A 26821-nucleotide genomic window follows, 5' to 3' on the forward strand; every position below is an offset into this window, starting at 1 on the left:
GTGATCCACCCACCTCAGCCTTCCAAAGTGCTGGGATTACAGGCATTAGTCACCATGCCCGGCCGCCTAGCTAATTTTTAAAATTATTTTGTCAAGATGGAGTCTAGCTATTTTGTCCAGGCTGGTCTTGAACTCCTTGCTGCAAGTGATCTCCTGCCTTGGCTTCCCAAAGCGCTGGGATTACGGGTGTGAGCCACTGTGCCCAGGCCCCCTCTTTTAAAAAAAAGAAAAAAAAAAAAAAAAAAATTCATTACGATCGGGTTTTCTTTTATTGAGTTAATGCTGGTAATTTACATTTTCCGTCACTGTGCTAGTGTAGAATTCTAGACCATTTTCATACAAGTTGTTTTCTTTTTTTCTGTTTTTTTTTTTTCTTATTTCAAATTGTATATGTTTGTGCTTTCTCCCAGTTTCTTCCCCTCTTTTAGATTATTATCTTGTATTTTATTGTCTTCCCAACCCCCTGGAAAAAGCTTGGTTTGGAGATTTTTTTGGGGTAAAAATTAGCTGGCTCCCTAGCTTTGCTCCAGAGAATGGTCATGAAATTAATGGTTGCTGATACTCAACCTGGAGCATGCCTGTTGTTGGTCTTTTGAGAAGCAGGCGTATTTCAAACCTGCCCCTGCATTGCCCAGCTTGTTCTTTTCTTTTATTATTTTTTTAATGATTAAAGGATTTATTAAATTCCATGTGCAAAACACATTGCTGATTGCATTAGCAAAAGATCAATGTAAAAATACCCCACAATTCTGGAACTGTCCATTTAAAATATTTGTTCTAGTTGTTGAAAGGCCCAGTGTTATATTCTTGCCAGTGCTTAAGGTATACAGAGAATACTGTAAGTGTTAACACTGAGTTTACAGAACCTCATAGGCCGAAAGTAATGTATTTAGGAAAAGCAATAATAGTAAGTATGCATTCATGTAGGTGAGATATAGTATGGTCAATATGGGTCAAATTACAGCGTTGGTGATCAGTGACAAGGGAGTTGGCAAGACAATTATGTTAAGAAAGATCATAGTTTAAGAATATTTAGGGCTGGGCACGGTGCCTCACACCTGTAATCCCAGCACTTTGGGAGGCTGAGGCGGGTGGATCACCTGAGGTCAGGAGTTCGAAACCAGCCTGGCCAACGTGGTGAAACCCTGTCTCTACTAGTAAAAAATACAAAAAATTAGCCAGGCGTGGTGGTGCATGCCTGTAAATGCCAGCTACTTTTGGGAGGCTGAGGTAGGAGAATTGCTTGAACCTGGGAGGCAGAGATTGTAGTGAGCTGAGATGGCGATGTTGCACTCCAGCCTGGGCAACAAGAGTGAAACTCCGTCTGAAAAAAAAAAAAAAAATTTAGAGTGTTTTGAAAACTGTAAACCTGCAAGGCATGATTTTTACAACTAGTTACCAGAAAATGAAGGAAAGCACATAATTAGCTTGAATAAAGTAACATGAAAGCGAGACTGCACTAATTTAAAAAAACCCCAAATCCTAATACAGTATCAGAAAAATATTTTCTTTTCTTTCTTTTTTTTGAGACGGAGTCTCGCTCTATCACCAGGCTGGAGTGCAGTGGCATGAATTTGGCTCACTGCAACCTTTGCCTCCTGAGTTCAAGCAGTTCCCCTGCCTCAGCCTCCTGAGTAGCTGGGACTACAGGCACGTGCCACCACGCCTGGCTAATTTTTTGTATTGTAGTAGAGACAGGGTTTCACTATCTTGGCCAGGATGTTCTCGATCTCCTGACCTTGTGATCCGCCAGCCTCGGCCTCCCAAAGTGCTGGGATTATAGGCGTGAGCCACCACGCCCGGCCAGAAAGATTTTCTAATACAAGGAGACATATTGCTCATTGAGAAGGGGTTTGATAAGAAAACTTACTAAGTTAACAACTATGTTAATGACTAGTTCAGAGATAAATTAAATGCCCAATTTTGGGAAAGGTAGCAGGTGCAAGAAAAAGGAAATGTATAAGAAAACAGTTTCTGATACTTAAACCTTTCTTCATCATGTACTGCATTTGACAGAAATTAACCTTTTAAAAATTTTACCTAGGATGGTTTTATTTCATTTATTCCATGTACAATGTAGTCTAAATCTCCACTTGATACCATGTCAGAATCCTGTCTTCATCCTTTGATTACATCAAGTGTTTCTCACACTGCTCGAACTAAGTCTGCAACTAAAGGTAGAATACTTCAGTAGAGGAAACGTGAATAGAATTTCTTTTCAGAATTTCAGCAAAAACTAATAAGCTATTTTAAAGTTTTTCACTATGAAATAAAAGAGTGATCCAAAGAGTTGAGTTGTTTTACTCATTCCATTATGATATATGGTAGAATGTTATGGAATGAACATGGATATTGCTAAATTATTGAATGCATTAAATGGCAGTACTTTATTAAGGAGGCTGTACTGCTTTAAATATCTGAAAACTAGTTAGAATGTGTGCATTTCCTCACATCAAGCTAAGCCTTAAAAACAAAAGCATTTAAAACTAGTGTTTGTAGCTCATTGGTACAAGTAGGTTCAGAGAGTATTGTGTCAACTCTTAATCTGAGCAGGAATAGAAGCTTTGAGAAAATAGGCTTTAAGAAGGTTTGTCATTTTACAGCCAAGTTTTAATAGATTGTGAAAGTTTGGACTCTTAGATTTTAAACAAACAAAACCTTGAAATTACTGATTGGCTCAGCGTGGTTTTATGGAAAAACTAATACAAAAACTTGGCCTTGACTATTTGAGCAAAGCCTACAAAAGTTCCAGATGGGACAGGGCAAGGAAGGATGGGGCTCTATTTACAACAGCAGATATTTTCTTTTCCTCTTCTTGACGTGGAGTAGGCAGGGCTATTTGAAAATAAAATATTCTTTTCTTAGAGAATGGAACTTGAATTACAGTTATTAGATTAATATCGATTATATACATTTTCTCTTTTCCTTTTAGACTAGTTGATCTGTTAAGTGTTGATAGTTGTTGTAACCTTCCACTACTATTGATTTTTTTTATTACTGTCTCATAGGTTCTTTTGCTTTTTTTATATTTACATATTTCCATGCTGTTTTATTTGGCACATAAAAATGCATAATGACTTCAAATTCAACATAGACTAGAGAACACACACACTTATTTTTTCTTCCTTCTAAAATCACATAAAGAATATAAAAACAAATCCAGAGAAACAAGAAAACCTCAGTGGTATGAATCAGAATATGATGAATTTTTGGTTGAATAAAGCAATTGGAAATCAATTAATGTCAAAACCCAAGAGAGCTTAGTGAACGTGTGACCTTATTCAGAAAGTAGAAGGGACCAGCCAAGAATTGGCATCCTGCAGTACCACCAACATCAAAAGCAGGGAGGCACTTGGAGATAGAACAAGCCATGAGTACAGCCAGATAATTAAAGCCATGGAAAGCTAAGCCATTTACCTATTAGTATAGGTGCCCGCAATGGTTTTCCTGCTGGGATAATGCCCAAAATTCAGCTCTCTGAATTGCTTGTTTGTCCATAGGAAATTCCAAAGTGAGTGCTGTATAGCAAGAAAGATAGGGGCAGTAGTTTAGGTAGCTTGTGGCTATCCTGAAGGATATTGAACCTCCAGCACCTGGAAGATGGGATACTCTTCCACCATTAAAGGAGAACCTGGCTGGTTACATGGCTCCTTTCTCGCCTATGGACTCATTCTAGATAGGACTTCTGTGATCTGAATTTAAGTTTATTGTTGGGCAAACAGGAATTATCACTTGGGCTGAAGAAGTTCACCCCAGCAGTCAGAATATAACTCTAGTCTGGACCCTCATCTACAAGTAGGAATAGACAACCAGGAAGAACCATGCTTTTCAGGAAAACCAGCAGTTTAAAAGAGAGGCACCAAATTCAACTAACTGAATAATGAAACACCAGAGGAGACAGTTTATATAGGGTACAGAATGAACTTTAAATCCACAGAGAGATTTGGGAAGATACCGTGTCCACCCAAAAAAGAAAAGATTGCTATGGAAAAGAAACTATTAGAATTAAAATATGAACTTTTAAAGAAAAATTCAGTAGATGGGGTGGAGATCAAATTAGCTAGCTTAGAAGAAAGAATTCAGGGATTCTCTGAGAGTGTAGTAGAAAGACAAAATCTGAGAGAAAAGTTAAAGCAATATAGAAGCTAGATTTAGTAGCCTTTTTACATCCTGTAATAAATGCTAGTAAGAATGAACAGAGAAAATGGAGGAAAGTATAGAAACAACAAGAAACTTTCCTAAGTTCAAGAAGGGCTTAAGTCTTTTGATTGAAAGGCCCCACATGGTCTGCATGTGAGAAGAGAACTTGTTAGAGTGGTAGCAGTGATAATAAAGAGGAAGTGATAAGTATAAGAGTTACTGGCTTTGAGATGAATTTAATTTAAGGGCTGATAGAGTCAGAGAAGAGAAATATGACTCCAGATTTGAAAATGAGATATCTGGAGAAATGATGGCTAACATTGAACAACATGGGGGAAAAATTAGGAAAGAAATGCAGCTTAAGAGAGAAGATATTAATTAGGCCTTAAATATAAGTTTTCACCAGTTCTGATTTCCCTCTAAGACAAATTGTTATAGACACATTTGCCTTTGTTTGCCTTTCCTGCAGCTTAAGCATTCCTTCTACCATGTATAATAAAATTTAGTTCTCTGAGTGTGACTTAGTGAGAAGAATTAGAGTTGAGTCATAGAATTAACAGGCAGTGAGGTTTTGGGAGACCTAAAGCAGAAAAGTGATTTTTATATGCATATTAGCTGCAAAAAGCAAAGTGAATAAATAAGAATCCTGTTAACTTGCCCAAGAGGGAGATCACAGAAGTATCTAAGCATCAAAATATATAAAACAAATAAATTATATCTGTGATCCCTAATTTAAGATAGATAAAATGCCATTGCTATACCTGTTAACTTTTATTGCTTTATTATATATTTTATTTATAATTACCTTCTTCTAGGATGATATTGCTTTAAAGAATGGAAGGACATTTTTGTGAATTTCCTGGGTTCTCCTAGCCCATTATTTCCCTCAAAACTATATGTTTTTCTTTTCTTTCTTTCTTTTTTTTTTTTTTTTTTTACTTTCTGTCCTCACAGTCTGTTCCCAAAAACTATGTTTTTCCACTGTGAATTATTTTCAGGATCATGATTCTCGTAACTGGGAAGGGAATATCTTACTGAGTTTGAGGTGTTAGTAGAGTCCCAGAAATACCTTGAGGGCGTTTGATAGTAAGACTAAATGTTAGTACTTGTTCACCCAAATTCTGAGATTCTTGGTTCTCTGAACCATCCTACTTATTTGTCTTTAGGTTCAACTGATCTCTGGGCTTGGTTTGTACTACAAAGGCATGGACACCGCCAGTTACATTATCACGTACCTTCTTCCACCCTTCGTTTATCATATCTGAGAACTCCTCTGAGTAGGTTCTGTTCTGAGAACAGTTTCATTCTGATTGTCAAAGGGAGTTAGTATTCTAACTCCAGAGGGGTTACAAAGTTGAGGTATAGTCATCTCTGTTTAGAATGTTTGAATTTTTGTAATGACAAAACCGAAGGGAAAATGACCAGGCAAAACAATAGTTTGTTGAATAATTACTGCTCACTTAAGATGAGATGAGCGGGCACCCCCATGTAGGCCAGAATATCTATTAGGAAATGCACGTGATGTAAAAGGATGGGAAGAAAGCAAATCAGTCTGTTAATGGTAGCTTGGGTTAATACTGCAGAGCCTTTGAGTATTGAGGAACTGCTGAAGTGTTCAGAGCAGGGAAGTAGTATGATCAAAGCAGTGCTTCAGGAGGGTTAATTTGCCTACAGATTGCAGAAATGCCTCAATACTTGGCACCAGCCCTTACGTGTAGTTTTAGGGTTTCTAGTCATTTGTTGTGGGAGTGGCAGAAAGGAGCAAGGCCAGTCCAGAGGCTATTTTCATCCCCCAGGGATCAGGAAATATGAAGCTGAGTGGGAATGCTAACTAGGAATTAAAAAAAAAAAAAAAAGATTCTTGAGAAGTTGAGAATTGACAAGATCTGGCAATCTGACTGTGAGCAGAGAAGAAGAAAAAGGCCATAGTGGTCATATCAGGAGAAGGCTGGGTTTTATCCGGATGAGAATATTCAACAGTCTGTTGGACATGTTAGGATGATTGTAGGAATCATTGTTGTGGAAATAGTAGTTGAAACCATGGGAATAAAGAGAAAGCAGAAGAGGAGAGGGTTGAGCACACACCTGGGCTGAGCCGCAGTAAGGGGTGAGGGGAGGGTGAGCAGCCAGCAGTTAAGAAGAGGGAAGAGAACTAGAAGTCACTTAAAGCAACAGAGGAAGGAGAGCACTTCACAAATTAGGGAGTTGATTGTTTAATAGAAATGCCAAGGAGGATGAATGCCAAGAAAAGTTGTTCTGCAAGTTGAGAATCCGTAGAGCTGATGGGATTGGGTTTATGTAGGGAAATTTGTGCGGTGAGGGGCTTAAATACCTTAATGTATCCCCTTTATTGCCTTCTTAATTGGCTTGCTTTAATGTCATAGTGTTTCATAATGCTTAGAATTTTTTTTTTTTTTTTTGAGACAGAGTCTCGCTCTGTTGCCCAGGCTGGAGTGCAGTGTCGCAATCTTGGCTCACTGCAACCTCCACCTCCCGGATTCAAGTAGTTCTCCCTGCCTCAACCTCCTGAGTAGCTGGGATTACAGGCACCTACCACCACGCCTGGCTAATTTTTGTATTTTTAGTAGCAATGGGGTTGCGCCATGTTGGCCAGGCTGGTCTCGAACTCCTGACCTCAGGTGATCCACCCGTCTCAGCCTCCCAAAGTGCTGGGATTACAGATGTGAGCCACCACGTCCAGCCAATGCTTAGAAGATTAATTTACGTTTATCATTTTTAAAAGGGGGAAAAGGTATTCTATAGCCAGAGGTGGTTTTGCGGGAGTGGGGCAGTAATAACTTTTTCAGAGCATGTACACTTTCTGTTTTTCATTTGCTTTAATTTTTTTTCTTTAATTTTTTTTTTTTTTTTTTTTGAGACGGAGTGTTGCTCTATGGCCCAGGCTGGAGTGCAATGGCATGATCTTGGCTCATTGCAACCTCCGTATCCCGGGTTCAAGCGATTCTCCTGCCTCAGCCTCCTGAGTAGCTGGGATTACAGGCATGCGCCACCATACCCTGCTAATTTTTTTGTATCTTAGTAGAGGAGGGGTTTCGCCGTGTTGGCTAGGCTGGTCTCGAACGCCTGACCTCAGGTGATCTACCCACCTCGGCCTCCCACGGTGCTGGCATTACAGGCGTTAGCCACCATGCCCAGCCCATTTACTTTTATTTGAAACAGTTTGAATAAATAACATGAAACATGCTATTTCTTAAAAATGAGTAGAATATATCTCAGAGTTGGTATGTTGAGAATTCCTTTTATGAATGTTAATTTTCTCAATTAACATTTAATGGATATTTCCATTACTATTCCATGTTAATGGATTTTTTTAAGGACTATATATGTAATTTAGTATCTGTAAGTAAGACATATATAAATAATCATAATATGACAAACCAGTACAATAAGAGAAGAATAGAGTGCTGTGGAAATTTCAGAGGGAAAAATTGTTTCCAGCTTTCTCTTTTTTTTGTGGGGAAGGAGATTTAGAGGGAAAGATCAAAGCAGAGATAATGGGGGAAAGGGGTTCCAGGTAGAAGGATCCCTGAATCAAATATGAAGTTGGGGTTTTATGGGGATGTTGAGCATTTTTGTTTGGCTGAACTTTGTGTGGGTGGGGACCATGTGTTTGTGTACATGCTGACAGTGGTAGAGGGAAGTGCTTGAAGGAAAGTTAGGGGAGATGATGATGGGAAGGTAGTTTGGGGCCAGAACTTAGAAGATGACAGGTGTTTGAATTTTATTTAGAGGGAGCAAGAAGCCATTAAACATTTTTGAACAGAGGAATGATGTCACCTAGCTTTAGAAAAATGACTTGTGTTTCTGTTAATTGAAATTTTAATAAGCATGTAGTACTTATAAAATCAGCAAAAAAAAGCGGTAAAGGTGAAAATTATTGGTTAGAGTTCTTTTTGTCAGAAGTTTTTGGCTTAAGTAGAAAAGGGAGAATTAAGGCCATTGGAATGTCTTACAAGAATTCAAGGCAGGAATATAGCTGGACCTCAGATAGGTCTAGAACCAGGAGCTAAACAGCTGTCTCCCCTCCCTGCTTACTCTATTCTGTTACTCAAGGCACTCACAGTCTAAGCCAGAGTTGCAAAATGACTTTTCTCAGCTCTTATGTTCCAGCCACCAGGACAGAGAGAGAAGGAGAGAGAGAGAGAGAGAGAGAGAGAGAGAGAGAGAGGCAGACAGACAGACAGACACTGATTCTTGCTCATGGTTTTGGATTCTCAGGGATAGGACTTTGATTTTATTGTGCTTAAAGATGAGCTTACTGTTTACCGTTTTATAGCTAGTGCCAATCAACTGTGGCCAGGAGAATATAAATACACTATGGGAATTTACTTCTCTAGATGAGAGGGTTAGTTAAGAGAGGTTAGGCAGAATCCCAAGGGTTGTTTACTACAGTTATGCACTTTGAATTTTTATCATTGTGTAATCTACTGGTTGGAAGTTAGTAGACTAATTACATATAGAGAATATGAAAATTGTGCAAAAATTTCCCCCAGTAAGCTACAGAATGTATTTTAAGTTGAATCTTAACACAACTGGTTACCCTTGTGGGAACATGGGGTGTTACAGACTGAGGACACAAGAGTGCTGGGGTCTTAAAAGCGTTCTATATTTTGATCAGGGTAGTGATTACAAAAGTTTATGTATGTATTAGAATTCATCAAGATGTGTGCACTTGATAGACCTAAGCAATACATTTATTGCTTCAACTTAAAAAGAAGTCCAGGCAAAGTTGACTTGTTTATCTGCCCTGCTTTGTCATATAGATGCCCATTTATCATTGTAAATCAAGTAAGTTCTATTTTACTTTAGATAAGTAAGTTTTTGATACACATTTATCTTTCACATAATTTGAGTGTCTCAGAAATGAAACTATCATGATGGCATTTAATACCTGATATGAAAAAACTAATGGCTTTGGTTTACTTTTTTCCCTGATTTAGGAGCTGTGACTGATGAGAATTAAAGGCCATGGATGAAGATGGGCTTGAATTACAACAAGAGCCAAACTCATTTTTTGATGCAACAGGTATAACTACTTGAATTGTTCCACTTCCCATCTACCAGATTTGGAGTTGGTTGTCATCAATGAATTGCTAGAACTCTCACATTGATCATTCACAGGTTATCTTGTTATCCTGTCAAAATTCACAGGTGTTACGGTGAGCACATTATTATTACCCTCCTCAAAGATGTGGCTCCCTCACAACCAACTCTCATATTCTTGTCAGTAACAGCAGCAATATCAAACCTTAGTTTTATCTTCAGTTATGAAGATAATATCTTGACGAGTTATGTCCCTAATTCCTGTTGTTTTTCCCTTTGAAAATATTCCTTGTTAGCTTTGTTTGGACCTTTGTTTAAAAAAAGAAAAAGAAAAAATATTCTTTATTTACATCTGCTCTTCTTCATCCTAGTGCCTACCACATAGACAGGCTCTACGTCTCATTCTTAGTCTGGAAATAACTTTTGCATTATTTTCCTTATCCTTAGTCTCTCTTATCTAGCCTGCTGATCAGAGTACTCACTGTAAAATAACATGTGGATCCTGTCATTTCTCTATTCTCTAATACCCAGTAGATAAAGAAGGTCTCCCACATTGACCCTGTCCTATTTTTATAACTCTCTCTCTTGCAAGTTCCCAAAAAGAGACTTCTGCTTCAGGAAGATGGAGTCTTCACTCCCCATAGTGTACAAGGAAAAATTATACTCAGGAAGTTCTAAAAATAGGAAAAAAAACAGTATTAGAAAACATGTATTTCAGATTACCCATGGTTATAATTATATAACGTTGTAAAGTGGTTACACTTGCGTTTTGGGTTTTTTTGTTTTCAGACAGGGTCTCGTTCTGTCACCCAGGCTGGAGCACAGTGGCGCCATCTGGGTCCACTGCAACCTCCGCCTCCCAGGCTCAAGTGATCTGCTCAGCTTCCCGAGTAACTGGGGCTACAGGTGTGTGCCACAATGTCTGGCTAACTTTTGTATTTTTTTTTTTTTTTTTTGGGTAGTGACGGGGTTTTGCCACGTTGCCCAGGCTGGTCTTGAACCCGTGGGCTCATGTGATCTGCCTGCCTCGGTCTCCTATAAGTATTGGGATTACAGGCGTGAGCCACCATGCCTGGCCTATACTTGGTTTTATAACATAAAAGGGATTTGAGGCCAGACACGATGGCTCGCACATGTAATCCCAGCACTTTGGGAGGCTGAGGTGGGTGGATCACTTGAGGCCAGGAGTTCAAGACCAACCTGGCCAACATGGTGAAACCCCGTCTCTACTAAAAATACAAAAAAATTATCTGGGTGTGGTGGTGCACACTTGTAATCCCAGCTACTCGGGAGGCTGAGGCCTGAGAATCGGTTGAATCTGGGAGGCGGAGGTTGCAGTGAGCTGAGATCGCACCACTGCACTCCAGTCTGGGTGATAGCACGAGACGCAGTCTCAAAAGAGAAAAAAAATAAAAATAAAAAATAAAAGGGTTTTATATCACACCAGGTAGCTACCCCTTATTATAAATAAAATGCTAATAAGTTTTCCATTGGACTGTAAATGATCAGATTGTAGTATATTAAAGAAATAGCAATCAACTTTATCAGGAAATTAAATGTCAGTGATTTTAAATTAAAATTTTTTTTTTTTTTTTGAGACGGAGTCTTACTCTGTCACCAGGCTGGAGTGCAGTGGCATGATCTCGGCTCACTGCAACCTCTGTCTCCCGAGTTCAAGTGATTCTCCTACCTCAGCCTCCCGAGTAGCTGGGACTACAGGTGTGCACCACCACGCCCAGCTAATTTTTTTGTATTTTTAGTAGAACGGGGTTTCACCATGTTGGCTAGGATGGTCTCGATCTCTTGACCTCGTGATTCGCCTGCCTCGGCCTCCCAAAGTGCTGGGATTACAGGGGTGAGCCACCGCACCTGGCCCTAAAATTTTCTTTTTATTATTATTTTATTTTTCTTTTAGCGGCAGGGTCTCACCCTGTTGCCTGGGCTAGAGTACGGTGGCATGATTATAGCTCATTGTAACTTCAGACTCCTGTGCTCAAGGGATCCTCCTACCTCAGCCTTCTGAGTACCTTGGACTACAGATGGGCGCCATCAAGCCCAGCTAATTTTATTTTTTGTGGAGACGGGGTCTCGCTATGTTGCCCAGGCTGGTCTCGAACAAGTGCTCCTCCCACCTTGGCCTCTCATGGTGCTGGGATTACAGGTGTGAGCCACTGTGCTCGGTCAAATTTTAAAATTTTCTTGAATCTCTAAATCCAGTGGGGATGTGTGTGTGTTTCTTAACAACTTGGGATACTCTTTTAACTCGTTTGGTAATTTCAATTTGATAATGATAAATGTAAGGTTTATAATTCTTTCTTCCTTGGAACATGAAATATAAGTAATATACTTGAAAGAGACTAAACTCTTTGGAGAAAAATGTGCAGTGTTTGTTCACTTAATCTTGCCACAGGCAAACCTAGGTAATGGACTAAGTGGTAGATTGAAGGGCTATTGCGTTTTAGTCTTGATTGATAACACTTAATGGTATTTGTTTATCTTTGAGCAAGTCACTTAATCTGCCAGGGCCTCCGTTTTCATATGTCATAATAATAATGAAACCTCTCATTACAGTTTTTCAGAACACTTCCCATACATTCCCATTTGATCATCACCACAGTCCTGTGAGGTATGCATGGCAGATACTACTGTCCTCATTTTACTGATGAGGAAACTGAAACTCAGAGGTTGAATGACTTGCCCAAGGTCACAAAACTAATAAGTGTCCTACCCTGATGTACTCTCTGATTTAGATTTTGGTTTTTTTTTGGTTTTGTTTTTGAGATGGAGAATTGCTCTGTTGCCCAGGCTGGAGTACAGTGGCCATGATCTCTGCTCACTGCAACCTCCACCTCCCTGGTTCAGGTGATTCTCCTGTCTCAGCCTCCCAAGTAGCTGAGATTACTGGTGCAGACCACCATGCCCGGCTAATTTTTGTATTTTTAGTAGAGATGGGGTTTTGCCATGTTGACCAGGCTGGTCTTGAACTCCTGACCTCAAGTGATTCGCCTGCCTCGGCCTCCCAAAGTGCTGGGATTACAGGCGTGAGCCACCGCGCCCGGCTGATTTACGTTTTATAACCAGTGCTCTTGCCACTAGATGCTTTCATCTTTATGTATGCTAAATGGAGATTAGTGATCTATTACTTAATGATAATATTGTGGATATTGAAAACAAGTTTAAAGCATTTTGTAGAAATTCTGTAGAAATTAAAGTGAACATACTCTTTTTTTTTTTTTTTTGAGATGGAGTTTTGCTCTTGTTGCCTAGGCTGGAGTGCAATGGCGCGATCTTTGCTCACCACAACCTCTGCCTCCCGGGTTCAAATGATTCTCCTGCCTCAGCCTCCTGAGTAGCTGGGATTACAGGCATGCGCCACCATGTCCGGCTAATTTTGTATTTTTAGTAGAGATGGGGTTTCTCCATGTTGGTCAGGCTGGTCTCGAACTCCTGACCTCAGGTGATTCGCCTGCCTTGGCCTCCCAAAGTGCTGGGATTACAGGTGTGAGCCACCGTTCCCAGCCTAAAGTGAACATATTCTTTTTATTATTTCTAGATGTAATTAAAATAGATATTAGTTGACTTCCTATAATTTCTAATATTCTTTGGCCTTTGATTTTTTTTTTTTTTTTTTTTTTGAGACAGTCTTACTCTGTCGCCCAGGCTGGAGTGCAGTGATACAATCTCGGCTCAATGCAACCTCCGTCTCCTGGGTTCAAGGATTCTCCTGCTTCAGCCTCCCGAGTAGCTGGGATTACAGGCATGCACCACTACGCCTGGTTAATTTTTATATTTTTAGTAGAGACGGGGTTTCACAATGTTGGCCAGGCTGGTCTCGAACCCTTGACTTCAGGTAATCTGCCCACCTTGGCCTCCCTAAGTGCTGGGATTACAAGGCGTGAGCCACCACGCCAGACCTGATCATTTTTGGTTGTTGATTAAGCTGTGTATTTCTCTGAGGGCCTGGCCAGTGACACATAGTCATTGAGTTAGGCACCTGGTTGGACTCAGCCTGGTCTGAGTCAACCAGAGGCACTAATCTACTGAATAGCTATGTAGGTAAGACTTATAAAACTTTCTTTGCTTTTCTGTAGAACAGAAGCCAAGATATTTTATTTATTTATTTATTAATTATTGAGACGGAGTCTTGCTCTGTCACCCAGGCTGGAGTGCAGTGGCTCAATCTCGGCTTACTGCAACCTCTGCCTCTTGGGTTCAAGCAATTCTCCTGCCTCAGCCTCCCTAGTAGCTGGGACCACAGGCACGTGCCACCACACCCAGCTAATTTTTTGTATTTTTTGTAGAGACAGGGTTTCACAGTGTTAGGCAGGATGGTCTCGATCTCCTGACCTCGGGATCTGCCCACTTCGGCCTCCCAAAGTGCTGGGATTACAGGCGTGAGCCACTGTGCCCAGCCTTCTTTTATTTTATTTTATATTTTTGATAAGGATATTTGATTCTATTTCCATTTGTGACATTCATTCAGAATAATATTTTCTGAGCACCATACACTGTGCAAACTGTGTGATCTTGGTTAAGTCATTTAATCTCACTGGGCTTCAACTGATTCAGTCCTCTACCTTCATTCCTTAACTGCAAAATGGACTAGAGTAGGGGAACTATGTTCCGAGGAACTGCCTTGGGAGTTCGGGTCTAGGGGGACGGGAGGAGGCTAGATGGAGGCAACGTACCCTGGTGAAGTTGGGGCAGCTCCTGCTCCAACTACTCTCAACCTCCACCACTCCAGCGCAGCTGCACTTGTATTTATCCTATCAGTCTCCAGAGCCTCCTCAACCCAGTTGTCTTTCCTCCTCAACTGTGGTCTTTAGTCCCTCTTTTAATTTATCCTTTGATCCTTGTATGTCCTAGATTCAGAGGATGATTTCTAAATTTCTATAGCCATAGATGGAGCATATTGGTGGTATATTGCACCAGAACAAAAAGGGAAGCGTGTGAAGGGAGAAAGGAAAAAAAATAGAAGTAAAAGAAACACATGGGAGAGATGGAAAGAAGAACAAATATGAGTTGAGGAGAGGGAGGTGGAGCAAAAAGGTAAAACACATATAATGAAGGAAAATAGTATGTTTGTCACCTGAAGTTGCATTACTTAATTTTTTTTTTTTTTAAGAGACTTAGAGACAGAGTCTTGCTCTGTCACCCAGGCTGGAGTGCAGTGGCACGATCTCGGCTCACTGCAAGCTCTGCCTCACGGGTTCACGCCATTCTCCTGCCTCAGCCTCCCGAGTAGCTGGGACTACAGGTGCCCGCCACCACACCCGGATAATTTTTGTATTTTTAGTAGAGACAGGGTTTCACCGTGTTAGCCAGGATGGTCTCAATCTCCTGAGCTTGTGATCCACCTGCCTTGGCCTCCCAAAGTGCTGGGATTACAGGCGTGAGCCACTGCGCCCGGCCTACTTAATTAATTTTTGTAATCTTCCCTTAAGTACCTATGTGTATGGTTTTCTTTTCTTTTCTTTTTTTTTTTTTTTGAGACGGAGTCTCACTCTGTCGCCCAGGCTGGAGTGCAGTGGCGTGATCTCGGCTCACTGCAAGCTCTGCCTCCCGGGTTCACGCCATTCTCCTGCCTCAGCCTCCCAAGTAACTGGGACTACAGGCGCTCGCCACCACACCCGGCTCATTTTTTTGTATTTTTAGTAGAGGCATGGTTTCACCATGTTAGCCAGGATGGTCTCAAGCTTCTGACCTGGTCATCCGCCCGTCTTGGCCTCCCAAAGTGCTGGGATTACAGGACTGAGCCAGCGCGCCTGGCCTTTTTTTTTTTTTTAAAACAGTCTTGCTTTGTCACCCAGGTGGAGTGCAGCAGCGCCACCTTGGCTCACTGCAATGTCCGCCTCCCTGGTTCAAGCAGTTCTGCTTCAGCCTCCCAGGAAGTTGGGATTATAGGCTTGTGCTACCCATGCCCGGCTAATTTTTGTGTTTTTAGTAGAGATGGGGTTTCACAATGTTACCCAGGCTGGTCTCAAACTCTTGGCTTCAAGTGATCTGCCCACCTTGGCTTCCCAAAGTGGTGGGAATACAGGTGTGAAGCCATTGCACCTGGCTATATATGGATTTTATTAGTGTGCCTAAAATTTTACTTTCATGTATGTATTTTTTCTGTGACTGCCTCAATTGCTTTGTTCTCCTAATTTTTAAAAATCTATTGATTTGAGATGATTACAAAAGTTCTTGGGTTAAAAACATGTGATTCAAAAATAGATTCCCTCTTTATTTCTTTAATCTATCTTAATGTTTAAGAAAACTGAGGAGCTAATCTGTTTTCCCAGTAGAAATTAAGTAACATTTACGTTAATTGTAGTCATGCATACTTACCTGAAATTTGTCATTTTAATTTTTTTTTTAAGGAGCTGATGGTACACACATGGATGGTGATCAAATTGTTGTGGAAGTACAAGAAACTGTTTTTGTTTCAGATGTTGTGGATTCAGACATAACTGTGCATAACTTTGTTCCTGATGACCCAGATTCAGTTGTAATCCAAGATGTTATTGAGGACGTTGTTATAGAAGATGTTCAGTGCCCAGATATCATGGAAGAAGCAGATGTGTCTGAAACGGTCATCATTCCTGAGCAAGTGCTGGACTCAGATGTAACTGAAGAAGTTTCTTTAGCACATTGCACAGTCCCAGATGATGTTTTAGCTTCTGACATTACTTCAGCCTCAATGTCTATGCCAGAACACGTCTTGACGGGTGATTCTATACATGTGTCTGACGTTGGACATGTTGGACATGTTGGACATGTTGAACATGTGGTTCATGATAGTGTAGTGGAAGCAGAAATTGTCACTGATCCTCTGACTACCGACGTAGTTTCAGAAGAAGTATTGGTAGCAGACTGTGCCTCTGAAGCAGTCATAGATGCCAATGGGATCCCTGTGGACCAGCAGGATGATGACAAAGGCAACTGTGAGGACTACCTTATGATTTCCTGTAAGTCTTGGGGTACAGTGATTGTCAAAGGTGTTTTTGTAGGCTGCCTCTTCTAATTTACATCAGGGGTGAAATTTTCTTGACTTAAATGTCTGTAAAAGTAAATCTCATAGACCTACCTGCATTGTTGTTTCCATTTGCAGCCTACAAGATAACTGAAAATTAAGAAAAGTGAGGCCGGGTGTGGTGGCTCATGCCTGTAGTCCGGGCACTTTGGGAGGCTGAGGCAGGTGGATCACCTGAGGTCAGGAGTTCGAGACCAGCCTGGCCAACCAACATGGTGAAACCCCGTCTCTACTAAAAATACAAAAATTAACCGGGTGTGGTGGTGGGCGCCTGTAATCCCAGCTACTTGGGAGGCTGAGGCAGGAGAATCGCTTGAACCCGGGAGCCGGAGGTTGCAGTTAGCCAAGATTGTGCTACTGCACTTCAGCCTGGGTGACAGAGCAAGACTCCTTCTCAAAAAAAAAAAAGCTGAAACAAACAGAACTGAACTTTGGAATCATGAAGAATGTGATTAGGCTGTTACCAGCCTTTATTAGAATTATGAACTCTCTTGAAACCTAAAAGGAGTTCAACTTGGAAAAACAAAAAGTCTAACCAAGCTACTTACTTTTTTTTTTTTTTCGGAGGGAGAGTCTTGCTCTGTCGTCCAGGCTGGAGTGCAGTGGTGCGATCTCAGCTCACTGTAAACTCTGCCTCTCGAGTTCAAGTGATTCTCGTGCCTCAGCCTCCCAAGTAGCTGGGATTGTAGGCACGCACCACCACGCCTGGCTAATTTTTTGTATTTTTAGTAGAGAGGGGGTTTTGCCATGTTGCCCAGTCTGGTCTTGAACTCCTGAGCTCAGGCAATCCGCCTGCCTTGGCCTTCCAAAGTGGGAGGATTACAGGTGTGAGGTATCACGCTGCTACTTATTTTCTTGAATATGGATACACGGTACTGTTTATGTAATACTTATGTACTTATATAATATGTAAAACACTGCATAACAGATAACATGAAAAAGAGCTCTGGTATAGTATGAAACATGATTCCAAAACATGGTATCAAGTATGATGGATTCATATTAGGTTATTGGAGAAAAGTAAAGTATTTTGAAACACACCTTTACATGTTTATCTTAGCATCTGGAAAGACAACCGTTATCTTCTTACAACATACTTCTTGGTACCAATTTCGGAGATAAAATTCTAGATTGGCTAGGCCACGGTTCTGACCCAGTGTGGAAATTCTTATGCCTTAAGGAACTAAACTTAAAATATAAAGGATTCACAGACTATTTATAAATTTACAAGAATATTTGCTTTGTTCGAATACCTGTTTTCATACAGGAATTTAATATAACATTAATATACTGGAGTCCACCAGCATTTTAGGAAACTTCTTTGAGATTTTGAAACTCCTTTGAAAACTTCTTGAGATTTTGAAAATCAAAGAATTATTTGTGGAAAAGGGAAGAAAATGCCTTCATTCAACACGTTTATTGGACCCTGAATGTGTGAGACATTGTTGTAGGTAGCGTAGATACAGATATGTGCTAAATAAATACATACATAAGACCATTATCCCTGGAGAGCTTTTGATCTGCTGTGGGAGAGAAAGTTTGTAGTGTGATGCAGAGGTGTGACTAAACTGCCATGGAGATGGGATGGAGTAGCTGACCTTTGAAATCAAGGATGAATTCTAGTTTTACAGGATGAAGGGCACGGGTGGCAGGAAGACATTCCAGGCATATAGTATAGTGTATTAAAAAAGAAAAAAGTTCTGGCCTTTGCTGATATTGCTGATAATGATGGGAACTTTAGGATACACTTTTATATCTTTGTGTACGTTCTATTTTATTCCTTAGAATAAATTTGTAGAAATAGAATTGATAGATCAAAGGGTGTACACATTTACAAGTTTGGTTATGCTTGAAGTTTGGTTAAATTCTCTTGGTATTTTGCCTTAATATTCCCTTCACCAAGTTGATGAGAATGTTCATTTCCCTACACTGGAACCAACACAGAGTATTATTTTTCTTTTTAGTTTTCGCCATTCTGATAGGGAAAAATACGTTACCCTGTTTCAATTTTGAATTTATTTTAGGATGATGATCCTTGTATGTGGAATAAGACTTAAGTGAGGGAGAGATTAGTGGCAGTGAACTGTTGAAATGGTTCATATATAAGATGATCTGAAGTACGTTAATAATAGTAAAGGGGACAGAGAGGTAGCTGCATTCAAGAGAGATTAGGAAGAAAAATGGATGAGATTCGATGATAGATAAAAGAGGCTAGGGGTTTGAGGAAGAAAGATAATTCAAGGATGACCCTAAGTGTTCTACCTTGGGAGATTGGATGCCTAGTCATGCCATTACCTGAAAGGAGGAGTAGGTTTGGTGGGGGAAGGTGGGGGAAGGGGGAAGATTTAGGATCTGTTACAGTTTGAATTGCTTGTTGGTGGATGTTTCTTCTAGGCAGTTGAAAATATGACTTTGGTGCTTTTGAGAGAGTTTGTTGCTAGAGGAAGAAATTTAGGACAACAGAATGTAGGCAGTATCATATATGGAAATGGATGGTAGTCTCCAGAGCATGCTTGTCGAGTGAGAGTGTCAAGTATGGCTCCTTTAGGTATTTAAGAAGTAGGCAGAAAAGAGTCCTTGAAAAATCAGGAGGTTTTGGGAAGAGAAGGAGGAGAAAAAGTATTTCCAACACTGTTAAGGATAGAGTTTCTACAAGTTATCAGCCACTGAGGAGAAAGCAGGCTTTTTTGTTTGGCATTTAGGAGGTCATTGGTATCTAAATTAGAGTAGGTTCAGTAAGGCATGGGCTATTGGAGAGGAGATGGAAGAGATGAGCTGTGATGGATTGAGAAGTTAGTGGAAGTAGAGTTAGGTGAAGCGGTTTGGATAAATTGCCATTTTGGTCAGCAAAGGGACTAAAGAGGTGGGAGTATAGCTTTTGATGGTTGCCTGGATGGCGAAAGTAAGTTGAACATGTTTATAGACTTAAGGGAAAAAAAAAATCACTGGACAGAGAGAACCTGAAGATAAAGAAAGGATGGGCTAGTGGAGCAGGTTCCAGAGAAGGGGAAGGGACTGGGGTCCAGGGCTGCAGGAGATGGCTGTTAGGTAAGTCCTGGAGAGGGAAAGTGAGTCCCCTTCTCTGAGACAGGAAGACAGTTAAGGATGAGGCCCCTTTCCAGGGACAGAAGGTAAAAGGAGTACTTGAATGTTGGGAGCTATTTTGTCTGTGAAGCAGGTTCATCTGCACATATGGAAGGACTGCAGAGGCTGGGTGGAAAGCTGAAGGATAATGGCAAAGGGTTGAAAAGCTTTAGTCTTTAGGGGATGGGCCAGTGTAGGAAGCCAAGAATTTATGAGATAGATTGCTGAACCGCATTGAGGGGCCAGCTGAGGTTAGGAGTCTATTTTATTTTATTTTATTTTTGAGATGGAGTCTCACTCTGTTGCCCAGGCTGGAGTGCAATGGCGCCATCTTGGCTTACTGCAACCTCCGCCTCCCGGGTTCAAGCGATTCTCATGCCTTGGCCTCCCGAGTAGCTGGGATTACAGGCACTCGCCACCATGCCCAGCTAATTTTTGTATTGTTTAGTAGAGACGGGGTTTCACCATGTTGCCTAGGCTGGTCTTGAACTCCTGACCTCAGGTGATCCCACCCGCCTCGGCCTCCCAAAGTGCTGGGATTACGGACGTGAGCTACCACGCCTGGCCGAAAATGCTATTTTAAAATGCAGGTTGAGCATCCTTAATCCAAAAATCCAATATCTGAAATGCTCCAGAATCCAGAACTTTCTAAGTACAGACATGACACCACAAGTGGAAAATTCCACACCTGACACTTGCTTTCTGAGGGTTCAATGTATATAAACTTTATTTCAGGCACAAAATTGTTTTAAAAAATTGTATAAAATTACCTTCAGGCTATGTGTATAAGGTGTATATGAAACACAGATAATTTTTTTTTTTTTTTTTAATTTGAGACAGTCTTGTTCTGTCTCCCAGGCTGGAGTGCAGTGGCTCCACCTCGGCTCACTGCAACCTCCACCCCGGCTCACTGCAACCTCCACCCCCTGGGTTCAAGTGATTCTCCTGCCTCAGCCTCCCGAGTAGCTGCGATTATAGGCACGTGCCACCATGCCCAGCTAATTTTTTTGTATTTTTAGTAGAGACGGGGTTTTGCCATGTTGGCCAGGCTGATCTCGATCGAACTCCTGACCTCAAGTGATCCATCTGCCTCAGCCTCCCAAAATGCTGGGATTACAGGCGTGAGCCACCATGCCTGGCTGAAACACAGATAAATTTCATGTTTAGACTTGGGTCCCATCCCTAAGATATCTCATTGTGTATATGCAAATATTGCAAAATCCACAAAAGTCTGAAACACTTCTGGTCCAAGTATTTTGGATAAGGGTTACTCAACCCTTACGACTGCCAGATTTTCTATTACAAGACCGGGCAACCCAGGACCAAGGCTAGAGAAAGCAGAGAGTTGAGTTCGTCCCAGTTTGTGAGGGGAAGAGGGCCTGGTGAAATACTGAAGAGGATAAAGCACTCTCGCTTCTCCTTGACTTCTCTCTGCACTTTCTGCCCTTTCTGTCTTCCTCAGCTTTTTTGCTAAGGAGTAAAATGCATGGTATTGGTTTGCCCTTTAACTGCGCACTATCTCTTGCCTTTACTTTCTCCTCTTTTAGGAAGTTCAGCCCTCCAAGGAAGTCATTGAAAAAAACCCAGAAGTTGCTTTAGTAACAATTTACTCAGCATATCAGGTTCTTGTATTACAGAATTTGTAATACAAGACATGTAAAATTTTACAGACTTGTAAAATTTTCATTAAAAATTTTATTTATAGTCATCTTTAGGCCCTGGGTTTCTTCTAATTTATATAGATTTTAATGTTCCTGAAAAAGTAAATATGGATGAACATAAATGGCTATTAGTGTATTTTATATATTTTAATATATGTTTTATGTATGTGTATATATTTTGATAATATAATTTCTTTCCTTTTAAAATAAAACATATCCAAACTCAAATAATGCAGAGATACATTTAAACAAATACATACACACATGAGCATTTGCGTGCACACATGTGCTATTCCCCTATTTCACTATAATGAAATGGTTGTTTTTAAGTTGGGTTTAGAGATGGTGGCCTTTAGTAGTATCTTTTGTCTTCTCTATTATTATGTTTGAGATGAAGTCTCGCTCCCTTACCCAGGCTGGGAGTGCAGTGGTGCCATCGCGGCTCACTACCACCTCTGCCTCCTGCGCTCAAGCAATCTTTCCACCTCAGCCTCCCGAGTAGTTGGGATGACAGGCATGTGCCACCACACCCGCCTAATTTTTACATTTTTTGTAGAGAGGGGGTTTTGCCATGTTGCCCAGGCTGGTCTTGAACCTGGTCTTGAACCAGCCTGGGCTTAAGCAATTTGCCCACTTCAGCCTCCCCAATTTCTTCAATTCAGGTGTGAGCCACCTTGCCCGGCCTCTACAGCCACTTTTGCACTCTTACTTCCCTCTACTTCATCATCCCCTTTCCTTTCAAAGTAATGATCATATTTTAAAATTTAATTTACTATTGGCTTTGGGATCAAACCAATTGAACACTTTAGAATTAACTAATATTTCTCTTGGCTGTGCCTCCCAGCAAAGATACTTAATGATGCATTTTATTTTAATTAATTTATTTTTGAGACAGAGTCTTGCTCTGTCGCCCAGGCTGGAGTGCAGTGGCATGATCTTGGTTCACTGCAGCTTCCACCTCCCAGGTTCAAGTGATTCTCCTGCCTCAGCCTCCTGAGTAGCTGTGACTACAGGCGCGTGCCACCACGCCTGGCTAATTTTTGTATTTTTAGTAGAGACAGGGTTTCGTCATGTTGGCCAGGCTGGTCTCAAACTCTGGCCTCAAGCGACCTGCTCACCTCGGCCTCCCGAAGTGCTAGGATTACAGGCGTGAGCCACTGCTTCCGGCCTTAATGATGCATTTTAACTTAAAACTTATATTGAGGTCGGGCACAATGGCTTATGCCTGTAATCGCAACACTTTGGGAAGCCGAGATGGGGGAGGGTCGCTTGAGCCTAGGAGTTCAGAGGTTACAGTGACCCTTGATTGCGCCACTGTACTCCAGCCTGGGCGACAGAATGAGACCCTGTTTCTTAAAAAAAAAACAACCCCTCCCAAAACCCCCCTAAAACACCTATATTGATTTCAGAAGTTAAGGATTAACAAAGGTTTTGTCGTAAGTATATAGAGGAACTATGGGCTGATTTAATCCATGATAGAGAATGTGAAGATACCATTATCGGTAGTCAACTTTAATGCTTTTCATATTATGATGAGAGATGGTAGTATTTCTGAATCTTATATTTATTAAACACTCTATCTTTAGGTCAGAAATGTGGCCAGATGTCCAAGTACTCTCTTTTCTACTCTCTTCTTTAAAAATTTCAGTAAGTTACTGGATCTGAGTGTCTAATAAACAGCTTTTACAATGTCTTTAGTATCCATCTTGGCAGGTTTCTTCCCTCTGCACGTCTCATTTAAAATGATGATGGGCCAGGTAAGGTGGCTCACACCTGTAATCCCAGCATTTTGGGAGGCTGAGGTGGGAGGATCTCGAGGGTAAGGAGTTGGAGACCAGCCTGGGCAACATGGCGAGACTCCATCTCTACTCCCCACAACCCCCCAAAAAAAAGATTAGCTGGTGTGGTGGCATGTGCCTGTGGTTCCAGCTGCTCAGGAGGCAGAGGCAGGAGGATCCCTTGAGCACAGGTGTTCGAGGTTGCAGTGAGCTGTAATCATACCATTGTACTTCCGCCCGGGTGACAGAACGAGACCCCATCTCTTAAAAAAAAATCAAAAACCAAAAAACCACACAAAACAACAATAAATGATGATGAAGCAGTCCTCATTCTTTATAATATCATGGTTGTGTATATAGACACAGATGTTCATTGTCACAGTATATAGCTACCTTTGAGGTCAGGATGACTGCCTTCTTCAGTCTTTGCAATCTAGATTTTATGATTGGCTTCTAAGTTAATTATATGTTTCTTGAGGACAGGAACTATTTACTGCATCTTTGCTGCTTATGTATCTTCCCCATCACACCGTATGTATATTAGGTATGAAATAAATATTTGTTGAATAAGTGAATATATGAATGTTATAGCTGAAAGTCCGTGTACATCATGCCTCATCCAAGGCATTAACGATAAATTTCTTCCCTACCAGTAGCTATTGTCTCTTGATAAAAATAGGTAATAGTAAATCTTCAATAAATGATATCTATGTGCCGGAATTGAAAATATAGTTAGTTTTTGAGATGAGATCTCACCGTGTTGCCCAGGCATACATACATACATACATGCCTGTAGATGTGCAGTGGCTATCTGCAGGTCTGATCATAGTGCACTGCAGCCTCGAATAATAGCTTCTCCAAGGTCACTCCCAGCAGCATTAGGGTGAGGCTTTGAAACCAGTTATGTTTTATTCCAAAGTGTCCACTCTTAATTCTCTTATTGGCCCCCCCTTTCTCTCTCTGTGTCTCTCTCTCTGTGTTTGTATGTTTGTATGTATGTGTGTATAATTTAATACTACAAAGCAGTAGAGTTCATGATAAATAGTGCTTATTGGTAGATGGGGGAGGCAAATAGAATTCCAAAGATAACTACAATTTACAATAATAATGAATTCCAAATTTCAACAATGTTAAACAATAATTTGTTGGGAGGGTTTAAGCATTTTTTTTATTTAACTCATTCTAGCAGAAGCCCAGACAGCTTCCAAACCCCATCCTGTTGTTTTTCTAACTGAAAAGTATTAATTTTTTTCAAATTTGTATTTACATGAGAAAAAGGAATCATATATACGCTATCACTTTTACTCTTGCCAGTGTTGATTTTTCTTTTGCCTTCATTCATTCAGAAAACATTTATTGATCAGCCATAATGAGCTGCGAACCTCACTAGGGGTTGGAGATAAACAGCAAAGTCCCTGGCTTTTTAAGTTCACAGTCTGGGAGGGAAGATAAACAGAAACAGGCAATTACAGTTGAGTGTAGGAAGGTATGTAAATAGATATAGAAAGTACTTTAGAAGCACTAAGAGGATGGGGCTGGGCACGGTGACTCACGCCTGCAATCCCAGCACTTTGGGAGGCCGAGGCAGGCGGATCACGAGGTCAGGAGTTTGAGACCAGCCTGACCAACATGGTGAAACCCTGTCTCTACTAAAAATACAAAAATTAGCCGGGCATGGTGGTGCGCACCTGTAATCCCAGCTACTCAGGCGGCTGAGTCAGGAGAATCGTTCGAATACGGGAGGCAGAGGTTGCAGTGAACTGAGATCATGCCACTGCACTCTAGCCACTGCACGCTGGTGACAGAGTGAGACTGTCTCAAAAAAAAAAAAAATTTTTTTTTTGGTACGCTTGAGGGAGACAAATGCTACAAAAGCGTTATAAACTGAAGTTCTATGGAAGCTCACTTGAAGATATTGACCAAGTTTATTTTATCTCCTATTCATTTTCCTCCCTCCTGTATTTTAAGCAAATTCCACATAACATTTTTTTCATAAGTATTTCAGTATTTGCTTTTCAAAGACAAGGATTAAAAAAAAACTGTTTTCAAAGCTTTAAAAAATAATTTGAGATGAACTCAATCTGAAGGGTGTATAAAATAAAATGTTCATGAGGTGGCTGAGGAGGGAAGAAAGGCAGAGAGATGTGAGACATCATTGAGTGTTCAGAGACCTATTCTTTGGGTGCTAATAATGTCTGGTGAGGAGGATGGAGGAAGTGGTGAGAAAGAAGATTGGCAAATAGGGCCCAAAACATAAAGGCTCTTGAACATAGACGCCTGCTTTACTTTTTGGACGTGGGAAGCTGTTAAAGGATTTTAGGCAGATTAATAATAACATGTTTAGATTTATAGTTTAGAAAGATAATGGCAATGTTCAGGGCAGGCGCAAGGTAAGAGCGAATTCAGAAACAAAAAGTACATTTCGGAAGGTTATTGTGGTAGTCTAGGTAAGAAACAGATGATAATAGTTTGAGATAAGTTTGTGTTTTGTTTTTTTGAGATGGAGTCTTGCTCTGTCACCCAGGCTGGAGTGCAGTGGTGCGATCTCTGCTCACTGCAAGCTCCGCCTCCTGGGTTCAAGCGATTCTACTGCCTCAGCCTCCCGAGTAGCTGGGACTACAAGTGCGTGCCACCACACCTGACTAATTTTTTGTATTTTTAGTAGAGACGGGGTTTCACTGTGTTAACCAGGATGGTCTCGATCTTCTGACCTCGTGATCCGCCTGCCTCGGCCTCCCAAAGTGCTAGGATTATAGGCGTGAGCCACCGCGCCTGGCCTGAAATAAGGTTTTATCGGTAGAATTTAGCAGAAACTGATTCATGACATATGTAGGAAGTAGAATTTGGATTAAATTTAGGGTTGAGGAAGAGGGGAGGGTTTGCAGCTCACTTCTTGGTTTCCAGCTTATGCAACTGGGCACATGGCAAAACTGTTACTAGAAGAGGAGCAGATGGACATGCTAAAGATTTATTTACAGGGTTGCTGCATACAACTACAATGTAAAGGGACTCCTGCAAATGTGTAATGAGGTGGCCCTGGTTTGCCCTGGCCATCTAGTTTAGGTATTTTGACCAGTCATTCTAATATTAGCTCCTAATTAAGCATGACTTTGGTCATAGTAGACATCCAATAAAACGTGGTTCAGGGAGCGAATAAATACATAAAGTCCAAACCCCTATGTTTAATGTATAAACCCTGAGGGTCAACACAATCTGATAGTTGATTGATTGATTCTAGGGACTGTTAGCACAGAAGAGATAGTAAAATATTTACTCTTTCATTCCATGGGCTAATTATTGGCTAGGTATGTATTTTACCATTATTTTTATGTATGTACCCTACCAGTTTTTTTAAACCAGGGAGCAAATAAATACATAAAGTCCAAACTCCTATCTTTAATGTATAAACTCTGAGGGTCAACACATCCTAATAGTTTATTGATTGATTCTAGGGACTATTAGCACAGAAGAGATAGTAAAATATTTACTCCTTTGTTCCATGGGTTAATTATTGGCTAGGTATGTATTTTATTATTTTTATGTATGTACCCTACCAATTTTTTAAAAACCATTTGATAAAACACAGGAAAAAGTTTGGAATTTGAAAACTATATATCTACATGGGAATATTTCTGAAATGTGAGAAAAGTGTTATTTACTGAACTAAGGATATTTTGGAGAAGGTGTATTGAAGATTTTTAAAATTTATTTCATTATTTTTTAATTAAATTTTTTTAGTTGCCCAGTAAAAATGGTATATATTTATGGTACACAACATGATGTTTTGAAATATGTATGTGTTGTGGAATGGCTAAGTGAAGCTAATTAACGTATATTACCTCACATTCTTATTTTTTTGTGGTGAGAACACTTAAAATCTGTTCTCAGTGATTTTCAAGTATACAGTACATTGTTATTAACTGTAGTCACCTCAAGCATCTTTTTAAAGCTTTTTCAGATAAAATTCGAAAAGTGGTTATTTTAATCCATCTAAAATTGTATCTTTACTGTAAACTGAAATTTATTTAGAAATCAACACTACAATTAATGACTTAAGAGTTTTCAGTATAATGTTC

General features: G+C 40.5%; 1 protein-coding gene across 51 annotated transcripts in view; it reads left to right on the forward strand.

Moving 5' to 3' along the window:
• The window catches only part of ZFX (zinc finger protein X-linked), a 67274-nt gene that overhangs the window by 14632 nt on the left and 25821 nt on the right, over positions 1 to 26821 (forward strand). For 26 of the 51 annotated variants that reach the window (XM_011545581.3, XM_047442450.1, XM_047442445.1 and 23 more), the window contains 2 exons: positions 9102 to 9187; positions 15570 to 16157. The exons of 1 other annotated variant lie outside the window; for it this stretch is intronic. In XM_011545581.3, coding sequence (XP_011543883.1) covers positions 9130 to 9187; positions 15570 to 16157 — 646 coding nt within the window. In that variant the 5' untranslated portion in view covers positions 9102 to 9129. Of the gene's footprint in view, positions 1 to 9101; positions 9188 to 9993; positions 10111 to 11775; positions 11831 to 12851; positions 13055 to 13289; positions 14254 to 15569; positions 16158 to 26821 lie in introns of those variants that run through there. 24 more of the 51 variants (XM_047442439.1, NM_001330327.2, XM_047442440.1 and 21 more) reach the window with 5 other exon arrangements.

The sequence above is a fragment of the Homo sapiens genome, chromosome X, assembly GCF_000001405.40.
Source record: "Homo sapiens chromosome X, GRCh38.p14 Primary Assembly".
NCBI lineage: Eukaryota > Metazoa > Chordata > Mammalia > Primates > Hominidae > Homo > Homo sapiens.